This window comes from Homo sapiens, chromosome 11, assembly GCF_000001405.40.
Source record: "Homo sapiens chromosome 11, GRCh38.p14 Primary Assembly".
Taxonomy (NCBI): Eukaryota; Metazoa; Chordata; class Mammalia; order Primates; family Hominidae; genus Homo; species Homo sapiens.
The window spans coordinates 959,182-973,989 of record NC_000011.10 but is presented as its reverse complement, the minus strand read 5'-3'; the positions used below and the strand labels follow the sequence as shown (position 1 = coordinate 973,989).

At 52.9% G+C, this 14,808-nt stretch overlaps 1 protein-coding gene across 12 annotated transcripts in view, besides 2 other annotated features; it reads right to left on the bottom strand.

Annotated features, from left to right (window-relative positions):
* AP2A2 (adaptor related protein complex 2 subunit alpha 2) overlaps positions 1 to 14,808 on the bottom strand; it is an 86,371-nt gene that overhangs the window by 38,251 nt on the left and 33,312 nt on the right. For 10 of the 12 annotated variants that reach the window (NR_144510.2, NR_144509.2, XM_047426480.1 and 7 more), the window contains 3 exons: positions 14,485 to 14,553; positions 3,679 to 3,821; positions 1,735 to 1,928 (listed from right to left, as the gene is read on the bottom strand). Coding sequence is in view for 10 of the 12 variants with exons in the window: in NM_001242837.2 (NP_001229766.1) it covers positions 1,735 to 1,928; positions 3,679 to 3,821; positions 14,485 to 14,553 (406 nt within the window). In the remaining 2 variants the exon portion in view is untranslated. Of the gene's footprint in view, positions 1 to 1,734; positions 1,929 to 3,678; positions 3,822 to 14,484; positions 14,554 to 14,641; positions 14,747 to 14,808 lie in introns of those variants that run through there. The other 2 variants (XM_047426484.1, XM_047426481.1) reach the window with 2 other exon arrangements.
* Positions 3,122 to 3,621: an enhancer, noted in NCBI's record as "H3K4me1 hESC enhancer chr11:970369-970868 (GRCh37/hg19 assembly coordinates)". NCBI's record gives its function as "activates a minimal SCP1, AML or CMV promoter by ChIP-STARR-seq in naive H9 embryonic stem cells {active_cell/tissue: H9 hESC(naive)}" and the evidence as "EXISTENCE:reporter gene assay evidence [ECO:0000049][PMID:30033119]".
* Positions 3,622 to 4,123: an enhancer, noted in NCBI's record as "H3K4me1 hESC enhancer chr11:969867-970368 (GRCh37/hg19 assembly coordinates)". NCBI's record gives its function as "activates a minimal SCP1, AML or CMV promoter by ChIP-STARR-seq in naive H9 embryonic stem cells {active_cell/tissue: H9 hESC(naive)}" and the evidence as "EXISTENCE:reporter gene assay evidence [ECO:0000049][PMID:30033119]".

Genomic DNA, 14,808 nt, shown 5'->3' with positions numbered 1-14,808 from the left:
TTCATCAATCTGCACGTGCCTCAGGGGTGGCCCTGTCTTGCATTCCGCTCACGCGCAGACATCCACCAAGCACCTACTAGGGACCTGGTACTGTTCAAGATGCTAGGTTTGTAAAGCGGCCACCACAGTGGACAGAAACCTCAGAGCCCAGGAAGCTTCCACCCCAAGGGTGGAAACAGGTAATAAACAGGCAAGCAACAACCCTGGGGGCAGGAGGAGAGGGAGGGCCAGGAGGCCGTGGCCCTGAGGCAGAATCCACTGGACCTGCTGGCTGGTTTCGACCCCCAGCCCCACCCTCCCTCTCCTGCACCAGCGCCCTGTGATCATTCGAGCCTTCCTTCCATCTTGGGCACCCTGTTTTCGGGGCGCCCACATGCTCTGCCACCTATGACTGAATGGCCTGAGGAGCAACAGTGCCTTCAGGCACTGCGCCTGCTCCCCCGGCTCGGTGGTTCTGCTCCTGTCCATCCTACTGTGGGGTCACCCATCTCTGAGCTCTTGCGCTTCTGAATATCTGTCTTCTCGTGGTTATGCTGCGGTCTCTCTGCCAGCCGGGCTCCTCCTTGCCTCACAGCTGACAGGAGGCTGCCTCATTCTCTATTGTGGGACGTCCTCACCTCACAGCTGATAGAAGGCTGCCTCATTCTCTGTTGTGGAGCATCCTGAGTGGTGTGGGGTGCAGCACCCTGGTCTCTACCCACTGTGACAACCAAAAATGCCCCAAGACACGGCCCAGTACCCTCACAAAGCCAATGTGGCCCAGTTGAGACGCCGGTCTAGGCCTGTTTCTCTCATGCCTTCCCACCACCTTGTCTCCAGTCCTCACTGTGTGGTCTGGGTGGATGTCCACCCACTCTCCCGTGGCCTGAGGCCTAGCTCAGCCGGGTGGCACCGTGTGGGCGAGGGGTCAGTTTCCCAACTCCGCAGGGTATCCTGGAACACACAGGTGGGGGCCCTGCCTGTGGCACAGACACCCCAGGGTTGCTTTAAGCTCTTCCAGAGCTGGTGACTCAGCCCCTCGAGGCTTCTCTCCAAATTAACAAGGGACGGAACGGATGGCCGAGGGCGCTCCGGCGCGGTGCTCGGCTTCTCCGCGTGAAGCCCTGGGGAACGGGCACGAGGAGGAGCTGCCCAGAGATGCATCGTTCTACCCAGTGCCCTGCGGGGCTGAAGCCCCTTCTTGGTTTTGCTGGCAGGGTGTGGGCGTTCTTCTTTGATCTGTGTTTTGAATCTCAGTGGTATTAGATTGCACTTTAATTGAAATCTAAACTTGTAATTCTCTTTTTGCTTTGGAGACAGGGTCTCGCTCTGTCGCCCAGGCTGGAGTCTCCAAGGCATGAACACGGCTCACTGCAGCCTTGACTTCCTGGGCTCAAGCAATCCTCCTGCCTCAGCCTACCAAGTAGCTGGGACGACAGGAGCACGCCACCACAACTGGCTAATTTTTTAAAACTGTTTGTAGAGATGGGATCTCCCTATGTTGCCCAGGCTGGTCTTGAACTCCTGGGCTCAAGCGATTCTCCCACCTTGGCCTCCTACGGTCCTGGGATTAGAGGCGTGAGCCACCGTGCCCGGCCTAAACTTGTAATTCTGGATCCCACCTTAGGCTACATCTCATCTCCCATAAGATGGGGAGAGTAAAACATTTCCTAGGCTAAGCAGCTCCATATTTGATGTATTTGGCATGAAAGCAGCACATCTTCAGCAGGAGCCCGGCACGAGCCCGGCACATACCCGGCTACGAGGACCTTAGGGATCTCCCCGGCGAAGGCCTCGGCCATCTCCCGGCTGCCCACGCTGGCGATGCAGTGCAGGGCCAGGCCCATGAAGGTGGGGTTGCGGCTGGCCAGGTCATTCTTGATGGCGTTGTTGATCAGGCGGATCAGCTCACTGTTTGAGTTCACCAACACAGAGATGAAAAGGTAGCCCTGCGTTCCAAAAGACAGGAGAAGAGAAAGCTCATGACAATCCAAGTCCACCTGTGGCCCTGAGTCACCCAACAATCAGTGACACACAGATGCGGAAGCAGCCCAGGCACCACCCACGCACCCAGGGCACTGCTGTGGGAGCGGCGCCTCTCAGGATTCGGCAAACGTCTGTTCCAGTGGAACCGAGGATGCCTCTGCTACGATGCTCTCATGGCGCAGCGTTCCTGTGGGGCACACCTGACTAGCGTGCCACGAGCCAGATGCCAACAGGAACTGGACCCCCCGGTCCCACTCACTTCACTGTGGGCCACGCGTCTGAGTGTTCCGGACATCACACTATCCTCAAGTTAAGATGGGCAGGAACCTTCACTGAGAGGCTGATTTTAGCTACAACAATTTCCAGAAACCCGGCTGCCTGTTCCCTCCCACTCTTTAATCTGCCTGTGTCACAGCCTCATGCCGCCCCCCTCCACCCCCACTGACCCAGGGCAAACCCCAGTCCTGTGTCACTGCCACTTCTTCCCAGCCATCCTCGAAGGTGACACCCTCCCCACCTGGAGGGAAACAGTGGTTTTCTCCAGGCCCATCACTGAGCACCCCGGTTAAAGATGTACCCAGCCTCCCACGGCTCCCAGGAAGACGCCACGAGGGAGCTCCCGCCCTGCCAAACACCACTGCCCTTTCAGCCCTGCGCTCGCACGCCCAGGCCACTGCCAGGCACCACCTGCTCTGCTCTCCCTGCTCCTCCCACCCTCAGCCCCCAGTTAACTTCCCCTCCCTCCAGCCTCAGCTCAACACACCCACCTCCACTCCCTCTCTCAAATCCTTTCAACTTCTATGTCTGTGGAGCCATGTGACACCCATCTCCCCCAGGACAAGGGCAGGCCCAAGTTCCAGTCCCTGTGCCTCCGTCCTCAAGGCTAATCCCCCATCCCCCCAACACACCACAGGCACTCCACAAATGCTTGAATAAACACCAATACTTATCAAAACCCCAAGACATCTACAGTCTCTCTTAATTTCTCTAAGTTAAATTTTTTGACAAATGGAAGAAAATATTACTTTATACCACCAGGGAAAACATAGAAATAATGTGACTGCAAGAGACTACACAGCTCAACGTGCAGAGCCCAAGAAGACTTCAAAAGTAGAGTGACAGGACACTGTGCACCAGCCCGGCAAGGGCTGGGGAGATGGTGGGGTGAGCACCCTCCGCACCAAGACCCAGCCATGTGCCTCCAGCGCCTACTGCAGAAACAAAGCTGTCCAAGGGACCACGGGACGGGTCTACTTGGGACAGTGCGTCAACAAGGCACTGTGTCAGGGAGACATCCTCCCCTCCTCTGGAGGCCGACCTCATGGGCACAGAGCACCAACCACATCAAACGCTGGGCCGCGTGCGGCACTCTCCAGACCAACCGGGCAGTCCTGAAACTCGCCGTAAGGGAGGTTGCAAAGAAAGGAGGAAAAGGCATGGCCACCTCATCAGGAAAACCGCATGCAGGAGGAGGAACCCTGTGAGGGCATCAGGGCTTCCTGAAGAACACCCAGCTTGGGCGGGAAGGGGGCCCGCAGGGTGTTGGCAGCAGGTGCTAACAAGGACTGGGCACGCGTCTCCATCTGCAGCAGACCCACGTGGCTCACGTCAGCTGTGGGCAGAGAAGGAAGCAGCGGCCCTACACGGGCACCGGGCCTCAGTCCTGCCAGGCCCACGCCATCCTCTGCCGTCTCCACCTGCAGCGATACTCACGATCTGCTTTTCCGTGTATCTGTTTGAACTCAGCAGGTTCACAGCCTCCATGTGTCCAAAGTCAATGTCATGACCAAGGAGAAAGATGAAGAGCAACTTGCAGACGTACTTTTTTTTACTATAGCCATCAAGAGCCTTGTCACCTACAGAAAAGGTGGGGAAGAGGTTTTATTCCAGGCGGGCAGAGGCAGGGGAGAGGGGAGAGCAGAGGGCAGTGCAGCAGTACAGCAGGCAGCACGGACAAGCCTCCAGGAGAGGGGTGGCCGGGCCCAGGCAGGTGCAGTGCAGACGCTGCTGAGCATGAATAACCTTTCTAAACTCATGGTACTCATGAGAGTCCAAGTTTTTTATTTCCCTTTTAAAAACAGGCACCAGAACATCTGGCAACAAGAGTTCTACCCTCCCACGACAACCCTGGGCAGGTGCAGCCCAGCTGGCCCTCACAGGGCCTCACTCCGACCAGCCAAAATCCCACAGAGGGCCCTGCTGTGATGGAACTTGCAAACCCTGCCTTCAACCATCAAGCTTGTCTTTGAAATCAGTTTAATTTAGGCATATGAACACAGTCTAAATTATCTGCCACTTCATAGCCATTCTAGGGCAAATCAGCTGGTCATGAAAACAAGGCCCACACGCGACGGCCCCTAGGGCTTCTGTTTCTCTGCCTCATCGCAGTTTGTCTGAGCCCCTCACAAGGGATCATGGCAGGGCAGGTTCAAAACATGTAATTGGCAGAATATAAAATTCCAAAATATAAAACCAACCCTTAAAAAAAGGGCCATTCTGGGCCCGGCACGGTGGCTCACGCCTGTAATCCCAGAACTTTGGGAGGCCGAGGCAGGTGGATCACCTGAGGTCAGGAGTTCGAGACCAGCCTCAACATGGAGAAACACCATCTCTAGTAAAAATACAAAATTAGCCAGGCGTGGTGGTGCATGCCTGTAATCCCAGCTACTCGGGAGGCTGAGGCAGAGAATTGCTTGAACCTGGGAGGCGGAGGTTGCGGTGAGCCAAGACCACACCATTGCACTCCAGCCTGGGCAACAAGAGCAAAACTCCATCTCAAAAAAAAAAAAAAAAAAAAAAAAAAAGGGCTGTTCTACATTGCCAGGAGTTTCTATCCCACCTGAGAGGTGAGGGAGTGTCCCTCAGAGCCAGCCTCCAGCAGGCTGTGGAGGCGAGCGAGAAAGGTGGCCTTGTGCAGGCCGAGTCTCACAGAGACTCTGCTGCCACAGCGTGAAGGAACGCAGGCTGGGAAGACAGCCCAGCTGCGACAGCCGCTCTGGCCCCCTTCTTGTGAAGGGCTGGGGCGCTCACACCTCCACGGACGACCTCAACTGTGTAGAATACAGACCGGCCACATTTCCTGGGGAACGGTGCATCACCAGTCGGCCAGTCAGCTGCATGCTGCACTCTGAGGAGCTCATGAGAAACCCCCCTCCTTGTCAGCGGCAAATTAACATAATTTAAAAGACCAGATGATATAAATAAAAGCAGACCCGACCTGGTTCCTCCCTCCCCCGGCCCCGACCCACTTATCTGCTTGCTGTGCCCAAGGGGTCCCAGCAGACACGTTCTCCGTGCCCTGTTTGTGCAGGAGGGCACACACAGCTGAGCACGGGCTGCGCAGCAGAGATCCTCCACTGGGAAGCCCCAGCACCGTGTCTCCTACCCAGCCCAGATTCCATCACCCGCTGGAAGCCGCCTTGGACAACCACAGCCAAAAATACTGCTTGACCTCCTCCTCCCTCCGGAGACTTCCCTGTTACTCAAAGCACCTCTCAAAGGAAAAAATAACTGACAGGGGAGAGGACCAGCGGCCCGACTGGGCTGAGTTTTGTGGGACAGGGATGGGGACGGGGATGGAGACGGGGATGGGAACAGGGGCGGAGACGGAGACAGGCTCTCTCCGAGAGGAGCCGACCAGCCTCTGCTCCCGCGGGACCCCAGACGAAGAGCTGCTCTAGAGCTCCCGGGTGCTGGGAAACTTAGGCCCACCTTTAGAAGCTGAGCCCACTGGTCAGTGAGGGTGATGCAGGATCACCTCTGGGCCTCCCAGAGATGTCACAGAGCACTCCCCTGGGCACACCACCCCTGTTGCATAAGCACCGTGAGGGGCAGCGGAAGTCGCCAGCGCGAGGAGAAAGCCACAGTGCTCGGCCCGCTGCTCATGTGGCAGCACGTGGATTCCTGGCCTAACCCAGGGCCACAGGAAACAAGCAGCAATGCTCGCTCCACACCCTCACCCATCTCGGTGGGGCAGGTGGCAGGTGAGCCCGCCAGCTCCCCTGGCAGGTGCCACTGTGAAGTTTATCCCTCCTGAAAGGACCCAGACTGATACAGTCTTCAAAATGCTGGTTTCAGTACTAGGCTAGAATTACTTTTTTATTCTAGTAATTTCAAAATGTTGAGTTGAACTTTAATATTCTGAGCTATAAAAGGCAGAGGATAACAGTAATATCTGTCTCCTTGGTTTGTGCAGATCAGAGGAGAGATGGCTGGAAAACCTCATCCTAAACCATAAAAGGATCACGATTAAGTTTGGGCTCCAGTCTGAAAGATGCAGCCACTTGCTTGTCTTGTGGTCTCAGACGTATTCCTTAACCTCTCTGAGCCCAACTTTCTCAGCAGGTTACTATAAAAATGAAACAGGGCCGCGCATGGTGGCTCACGCCTGTAATCCCAGCACTTTGGGAGGCTGAGGCAGGAGGATCATGAGGTCAGGAGATAGAGACCATCCTGACTAACACGGTGAAATCCTGTCTCTACTAAAAATACAAAAATAAGCCGGGCGTGGTGGCGGGCGCCTGTAGTCCCAGCTACTCGGGAGGCTGAGGAAGGAGAATGGCATGAACCCGGGAGGCAGAGGTTGCAGTGAGCCGAGATCGCGCCACTGCACTCCAGCCTGGGTGACAGAGCGAGACTCCATCTCAAAAAAATAAAATAAAATAAAAAAATAAAACGAAACAGCACAGCACGGACGGAGCATCAGGTGTCTGAGGCAACGTAAGGTCACAACACAGGTTCATGAGCACCATCTTTCACTGACTCATCAGATGCACACAGACTTCACAGACGATAAAATGTGACAAAATGTCTACCTCATAATGACTGAAACCTGCTTGGTTATTTTTGTTTTGTTTTTCCCAGACAGTCTTGCTCTGCTGCCCAGGCTGGAGTGCAGTGGTGCAATCTTGGCTCACTGCAACCTCCACCTCCCAGGTTCAAGCGATTCTCGTGCCTCTGCCTCCCGAGTAGCTGGGATTACAGGCACACGCCACCACACCCAGCCAATTTTTTTATTTTTAGTAGAGATGGGGTTTCACCATGTTGGCCAGGCTGGTCTCAAACTCCTGACCTCGTGATCTGCCCTCCTCGGCCTCCTAAAGTGCTGGGATTACAGGCGTGAGCCACCACGCCTGGCCTGGTATTTTTTTATAACAAAATATCAAGTAGAATAAGATAAACTGGAGAGTGAGTCAGGAACCAGAGCCTCCACGCCTTCTCTTGACCTGAAAGTTGGGAAAAGGGACAGTGCCCTGACTGGCCACCAGCCATCTGGTCACCAGCCAGAGGCACTGCTGGCTCTACACTCTCCAACCCACACAGCCTGCATGAGGCTCACACCCTCGGGGGCAGGGTGGGAACTCCTTCCACTTCCTCACCAATGCACACCAGCCCCAACAACAGTGTGTGGCACAAGGCAGTTGCTCAGTCTTTGCCTTTTACATCAATGAATTAATAATCAAGCAAACTCACGGTAAAATGAAAAACAGGCTGCCCAAGTGAAAGAAAAAGTAAAGTGTTTTGTCTGGAGACAAGGTCTCCCTCTGCCACCCAGACTGGAGTGCAGTGGCATGACCACAGCTCACTGCAGCCTCAACCTCCTAGGCTCAAGTGATCCTCCCACCTCAGCCTCCCAAGTGGCTGGGACCACAGGCATGTGCAACCACACACGGCTAATTTTTTGTACTTTTAGTAGAGATTTTTAGGGTTTCACCACGTTGCCCAGGATGGTCTTGAACTCCTGAGCTTAAGTGATCTGCCTGCCTCGGCCTCCCAAAGTGCTAGGATTATAGGCACGAGCCACCGCGCCTGGCCTATTTAGCAAATTAATGTGCACAACCTGGAAAACTCCTGGAGATGATCAGTCATAAGAAATTCCCAGTCAGGTGCAGTGGCTTACGCCTGTAATCCCAGCACTTTTGGGAGGATTCACTTGAGGTGGGTGAGTTCACCTGAGGCCATGAATTTGTGATCAGCCTAGGAAACACAGCGAGACCCCATCTCTACAAGTTTTACAATTTGCTGGGCGTGGTGGTGCACACCTGTAGCCCTAGCCACTCGGGAGGTGGAAGCAGGAGGATGACCTGAGCCCAGGAAGTCAAGGCTGCAGTGAGTTAGGATCATGCCACAGCACTCCAGCCTGGGCAACAGAACAAGACCCTGTCTCTTTAAAAAAGAAAGAAACTACCATGTCTCTGTAGAGTATGAGAACACAACAGTTGTTTTCTAAAGGCTTAAAGATGGAAGGCACACCTGTGAACATCCCAGTAACTCCCCTGGGCTCCCACTAGCATGGCAGGTGCACATAAGCACTGATTTCTTGCCCATGCGTCTGCAGGTCAGCCGGGGCCACCGTCAAGACACCGTCAGATCTGGACGGGCCTGCTGTGCATGGCTCTGCTCCAGGCCCACACCACCCAAAGCACATCCTTACCATAGCAGAGGTAGGAAGAGCCCAGAGGGGAGACTCCCTTAAAGCCAAAGTTGGGACTGACATGAACACTTTTCTCCACACACCTTAGGCCACACATCAGATGGTCACACCTAACAACCCTCATTAAAGGATAAAGATCACAGGGAAGCCATTTGGGCCTACAGTCTTCTTGATGGCAAACAAATACGGTTTCAACTCTCTGAAGTTCACTGCACTACTGAAGAAACTCCACAGACAGACATAACCACGAGACACAACACACTGGCGTTACCTACACATCTCCCGCTGTCCTGCCCATTCCATTCTTTCCACCTCCACGCTTCCATCTGGGATTATTTCCTTTAATTTCCCGCCCGTTCCATGCTTTCCACCTCCACGCTTCCATCTGGGATTATTTCCTTTAATTTCCCGCCCGTTCCATGCTTTCCACCTCCACGCTTCCATCTGGGATTATTTCCTTTAATTTCCCGCCCGTTCCATGCTTTCCACCTCCACGCTTCCATCTGGGATTATTTCCTTTAATTTCCCGCCCGTTCCATGCTTTCCACCTCCACGCTTCCATCTGGGATTATTTCCTTTAATTTCCCGCCCGTTCCATGCTTTCCACCTCCACGCTTCCATCTGGGATTATTTCCTTTAATTTCCCGCCCGTTCCATGCTTTCCACCTCCACGCTTCCATCTGGGATTATTTCCTTTAATTTCCCGCCCGTTCCATGCTTTCCATCTCCACGCTTCCATCTGGGATTATTTCCTTTAATTTCCTGCCCGTTCCATGCTTTCCATTTCCACGCTTCCATCTGGGATTATTTCCTTTGGCATTTCCTTTAACACAGGCCTTCTGGTAGGAAATTCTTTCCATTTCTGTCTTCGGCAGGTATTTTTTAGCTTCATTTTTGTTGTTGTTGTTGTTGTTGTTCACAACATTTTATTAAAAAAAAATAGGAAAAGTGAGACTGTGGCATTGACCATGTAGCAGGGTGGTAGCACTCCAGCCCATGCTCTGGCCAAACCGACTTCAGCCTTACATGCAGGCTGCCTACCAATTCAGGAACAGGGCCCCAAATTAATTCCCTTTGAGGCCAACCAGATTCCCCTAACACCCCATCAAGCTTTTTCTGCCCTGTTCATCTGCAGGTGAACCCCAGATCCTGCCCACCCCAGAATATGCCAATTTTTATTATCTAAAATGGAGCCTACAGACTGGTGCCCCGCAGAGAAGCCCCAGAACTCCAGGTCAGAGCTGAAGCTGCAGTCAGACCCACAGGCTCCCTTGAAGCAGGATGGTTCGTGATGCCCCACTCAAACAGGGTAGCTTCATTGTTGAAAGGTATTTTTGTTGGATATCGATTCTTTCCCTGGTTGTAACCTTCCCAACATTTTGAGGTTGTGTAGAGCACCCCCATGTCAAGACACCCAGCGGCAAGTCTGGAAGAGGACTGGCTCACTGACAGTTCACTCTGCCCTACGGGTATTCCCTCTGGTGAGGCCTTCAGTTCACAGTGGAAGGGGGTCTCCAGTCTTTGACTATCATCCCTCTAGACAAGGCTCCTCAGCCCTGGCACCACTGACATCCTGGCTGACGCCTCTGTTGTGGGGGCCACTCTATGCACTTCGGTTGTTTAACAGCCTCCCACCTCCACCCACGAGTGGACCCACACTCCTAGGGGCCAGGTGCAGTGGCTCATGCCTATAATCCCAGCACTTTGGGAGGTCAAGGCAGACCGATCTCTTGAGCCCATAAGTTTGAAACCAGCCTAGGTAACATGGCAAGACCCCATCTCTACAAAACTTTTTTTAAATGTTAGCCAGGCGTGGTGGTGCGCGCCTGTGGTCCCAGTTACTTGGGAGGCCAAGGTGGAAGGATGGCTTGAGCCCGGGGGGTTGAGGCTGCGGTGAGCTGTGATTGCACTGGGCAGCCTGGTCAACAGAGCAAGATCTTGTCTCAGTAAATCAATAGATCAATCAATTGATCAACTGTTTTCAACAGAAGGGTTGCTCTAAATCAGCAGTGCTCACACAGCAGCCTCATGCCACATGCGGTCAGTGAGCAAGTGAAACAGCCAGTACAAAGTGAGACTCACTCTTAAGTGTGACACACACACCAGACTTCAAAGACCTGGTATAAAATAACTCGGTACCTTGTTTTTTTTTTAGTTTTTTTTTCTGAGACAGAGTCTCACTCTGTCGCCCAGGCTGTAGTGCACTGGCACGATCTCGGCTCACAGCAACCTCTGCCTCCTAGGTTCAAGCGATTCTCCTGCCTCAGCCTCCCGAGTAGCTGGGATTACAGGTGCCCGCCACCATGCCCAGCTAATTCTTGTATCTTTAATAGACACGGGGTTTCACCATGTTGGTCAGGCTGGTCTCAAACTCCTGACCTCAACTGATCCAGCCACCTCGGCCTCCCAAAGGGCTGGAATTACAGGCATGAGCCATCGTGCCAGCCAGTTTTTTTTTCAATTGATTACAACGAAATTTTAGATATACTGAACTAAATAAAATATATTATTAATTTCATTTGCTCCTTTTTACTTTTTTTCAATGAGGCTGCCAGAGCCTTTAGACCTATGAATGTGACTGATACTCTATTTCTAAATTGGACAGCACAGCTCTAAGTCATCTCATCTACCCACAGCTGGCAGGGCAGGCCTCAGGCAGCACATTTCTTACGGACAAGGAGTAGATTTTCTTCTATGTCTGCTGCCACCACCCAGGGTACGCGCGTGCTCAACAAAAGCCAACAGATCACTGTGTAGGAGGGGCCACCTTCCCTATCTAGGACAGCCAGACAGGCATGAAGTCTCCTTTAGTCCCAAAACATTTATACAGAATTTATAAAACAAAATTTTTTTTTTTTTGAGACAGAGTCTTGCTGTGTCTCCCAGGCTGGAGTGCAATGGCGAGATCTCGGCTCACTGCAACCTCCGCCTTCCCAGTTCAAGCGATTCTCCTGACTCAGCCTCCCAAGTAGCTGGGACTATAGGCACGCGCCTCCACACCCAGCTAATTTTTCTATTTTTAGTAAAGATGGGGTTTCACCATGTTGGCCAGGCTGGTCTCGAACTCCCGACCTCAATCGATCCGCCCGCCTCAGCCTCCCACAGTGCTGGGTTACAGGCGTGAGCCACCACGCCTGGCCAGAGAGTTTGTAAATTTAACAGCCTAGCAAAGTCTTTGAAGTTACACCTCAACACATTAGATGATTCTTCTGAAACCTATAAAAACCTCCCATTCGAATTTCATCTTCACCATTCTGAAGGCCATGAACTCTTTTCACAATAACAAAATGGATTCACACTGGCTGGGTGCTGGTTTCCTTTCAAGCAATTTCTATGCATTTCCTCATTTCCTCACAATGAGCACAGCAGACGCAGATCCCATTCAGTGAAGGCCCAGTGACACCAAGAGTAAGGCTGGCTTTGTCATGGTCCGGCTCCCCCAGGTTGAGAGCCACGGCTGAGCAAGAGGGTGCCAGGGCGCAGCCCTTTCAACCCAGTGCCACCACCTCCAGCCGGCAATCTGGGCTCCCGAGCTCCCTGATGGGCAGGTGGCGGCGACTGTCAGACCCACATCTCCATCTGCTTCCGCCCTTTACTTTTCACTAGTGGTGGCGACTGTCAGACCCACATCTCCATCTGCTTCTGCCCTTTACTTTTCACTGGTGGCGGCGACTCTGTCAGACCCACATCTCCATCTGCTTCCGCCCTTTACTTTTCACTGGTGGCGGCGACTCTGTCAGACCCACATCTCCATCTGCTTCCGCCCTTTACTTTTCACTCGTGGCGGCGACTCTGTCAGACCCACATCTCCATCTGCTTCCGCCCTTTACTTTTCACTGGTGGCGGCGACTATCAGACCCACATCTCCATCTGCTTCCGCCCTTTACTTTTCACTGGTGGCGGCGACTGTCAGACCCACATCTCCATCTGCTTCCGCCCTTTACTTTTCACTGGTGGCAACTCTGTCAGACCCACATCTCCATCTGCTTCTGCCCTTTACTTTTCACTGGTGGCAACTCTGTCAGACCCACATCTCCATCTGCTTCTGCCCTTTACTTTTCACTGGTGGTGGCGACTGTCAGACCCACATCTCCATCTGCTTCTGCCATTTACTTTTCACTGGTGGTGGCGACTCTGTCAGACCCACATCTCCATCTGCTTCTGCCCTTTACTTTTCACTAGTGGTGGCGACTGTCAGACCCACATCTCCATCTGCTTCTGCCCTTTACTTTTCACTGGTGGTGGCGACTCTGTCAGACCCACATCTCCATCTGCTTCTGCCCTTTACTTTTCACTGGTGGCGGCGACTGTCAGACCCACATCATCTGCTTCTGCCCTTTACTTTTCACTGGTGGTGGTGACTGTCAGACCCACATCTCCATCTGCTTCTGCCCTTTACTTTTCACTGGTGGCGGCGGCTGTCAGACCCACATCTCCATCTGCTTCTGCCCTTTACTTTTCACTGGTGGTGGTGACTGTCAGACCCACATCTCCATCTGCTTCTGCCCTTTACTTTTCACTGGTGTCACTCTGAATAAATCTTCTGTACACAGCCCATTTCAGAGTCCACATCCTGGAGAACCCAACTTGAGATCACTGGTTTCCCCATTCTACAGTTAAGAACAAAGGTGCACACCGGGCGCAGAGGCTCACGCCTGTAATTCCAGCACTCTGGGAGGCCAAAGCAGGTGGATCACCTGAGGTTGGGAGTTCGAGACCAGCCTGACCAACATGGAGAAACCCCCGTCTCTACTAAAAATACAAAAACCAGCCGTGTGGGGTGCAGTGGCTCACGCCTGTAATCCCAGCATGTTGGGAGGCTGAGGCAGGTGGATCACTTGAGGTCGGGAGCTCAAGACCAGCCTGACCAACATGGAGAAACCCCATCTCTACTAGAAGTACAAAAATCAGCCAGGCCAGGCACAGTGGCTCACGCCTGTAATCCCAGCATGTTGGGAGGCTGAGGCAGGTGGATCACTTGAGGTCGGGAGTTCGAGACCGGCCTGACCAACATGGAGAAACCCCGTCTCTACTAAAAGTACAAAAATCAGCTGGGCCGGGCACAGTGGCTCATGCCTGTAATCCCAGCACTTTGGGAGGCCGAGGCGGGCAGATCACTTGAGGCCAGGAGTTTGAGACCAGCCTGGCCAACATGGAGAAATCTCGTCTCTACTAAATAAAATTACAGGCATGTGGTGGCACACGCCTGTAATCCCAGCTACTCGGGAGGCTGAGGCAGGAGAACCGCTTGAACCTGGAAGGCGGAGGTTGCGGTGAGCCAAGATCGTGCCACTGCACTCCACACTGAGCGACAGAGCAAGACTCCATCTCAAAAAAAAAAAAAGAAAAGAAAAGAAACTACTGGATATCCATTCTCAAGCCCTCAAAAGCACCCATCCCATGAAACTCCAGTTGTCCCCAAGCTGTGTTCTGCCTGTCCCTCCAGTTCCACAGGGGTCAGGCTCAGCCCTCTCCCCGACTCATTGTGCCTGGGCAATTTCAGCTACACCGTGGCTAAGGTATGCTCAGGGAGGTGAGCCAGGTTGCAAATCTGTAAACATTAACTGAAAAATTAAGGCTTTAAGGATTAACTGGGGTTTCAAAAATGTCCCAAGGGCTGAAAACTAAATCCGTACTTCACAATTCTTCAAAGTAAGGATGTTCAGGGAAGGCACTCAGCCCACACACTGGCTCACAGAGAGGCAGTCCACCGAGCGCAGGTCAGGTCCCTGTTGACCGTCAGCAGGAGGCGTTCGGTGGCGCCTTACACAGAGCACTTCCCGTACTTGGTGTCTGTCCTCTGAACCCCCAGCACGCTGGCCTGGTGGCTAATACTGCGACATGCAGCTGGGCACTAGACCAGTGCTGTTCCAGCTCCAGGAAAAGACCAGACACCAGGAGGGGCTGCCCCACCTAACCAGCTCCACACATGCCATTTCCTAATTCTGACAGGGCCCTGATAGAAACTGTACAAACTGAGAACTTCACTTTAGTGTGGGAGAAAAGAAGACAGTATTAAAAGACTGGGTTCTTACTACAGAAAATTTACAACAGGACATTTCATGGAAAAGGTTAAACATACTTACCTTTAAATTTTGATCTGATATTTGCCAGTTCCTTGTTTATCCTTTTTATTTCTGCTTCTTTACTTTTACCTAAAAAAAAGAACAAAAAGCCATTTTTATTTTAATTGATTTCTAAAGAAACACCATTTCCCTGATAAGACTGACACTCAGAACTCACGAATGGGATGAGGCCCCGTTTCAAGGCAGGAGAAAAGCCGAAGCAGACACCTGCCTCCAACCCAGAGCCGGCAGGAAGGGGCTGCAGCAGGGCCGGGGCCGGGACTGAGCCTAGGGGAAAGGGAGTGCCTGGGTCAGGACAGCAAAGGAGCGAGTCCTGAACCGCCC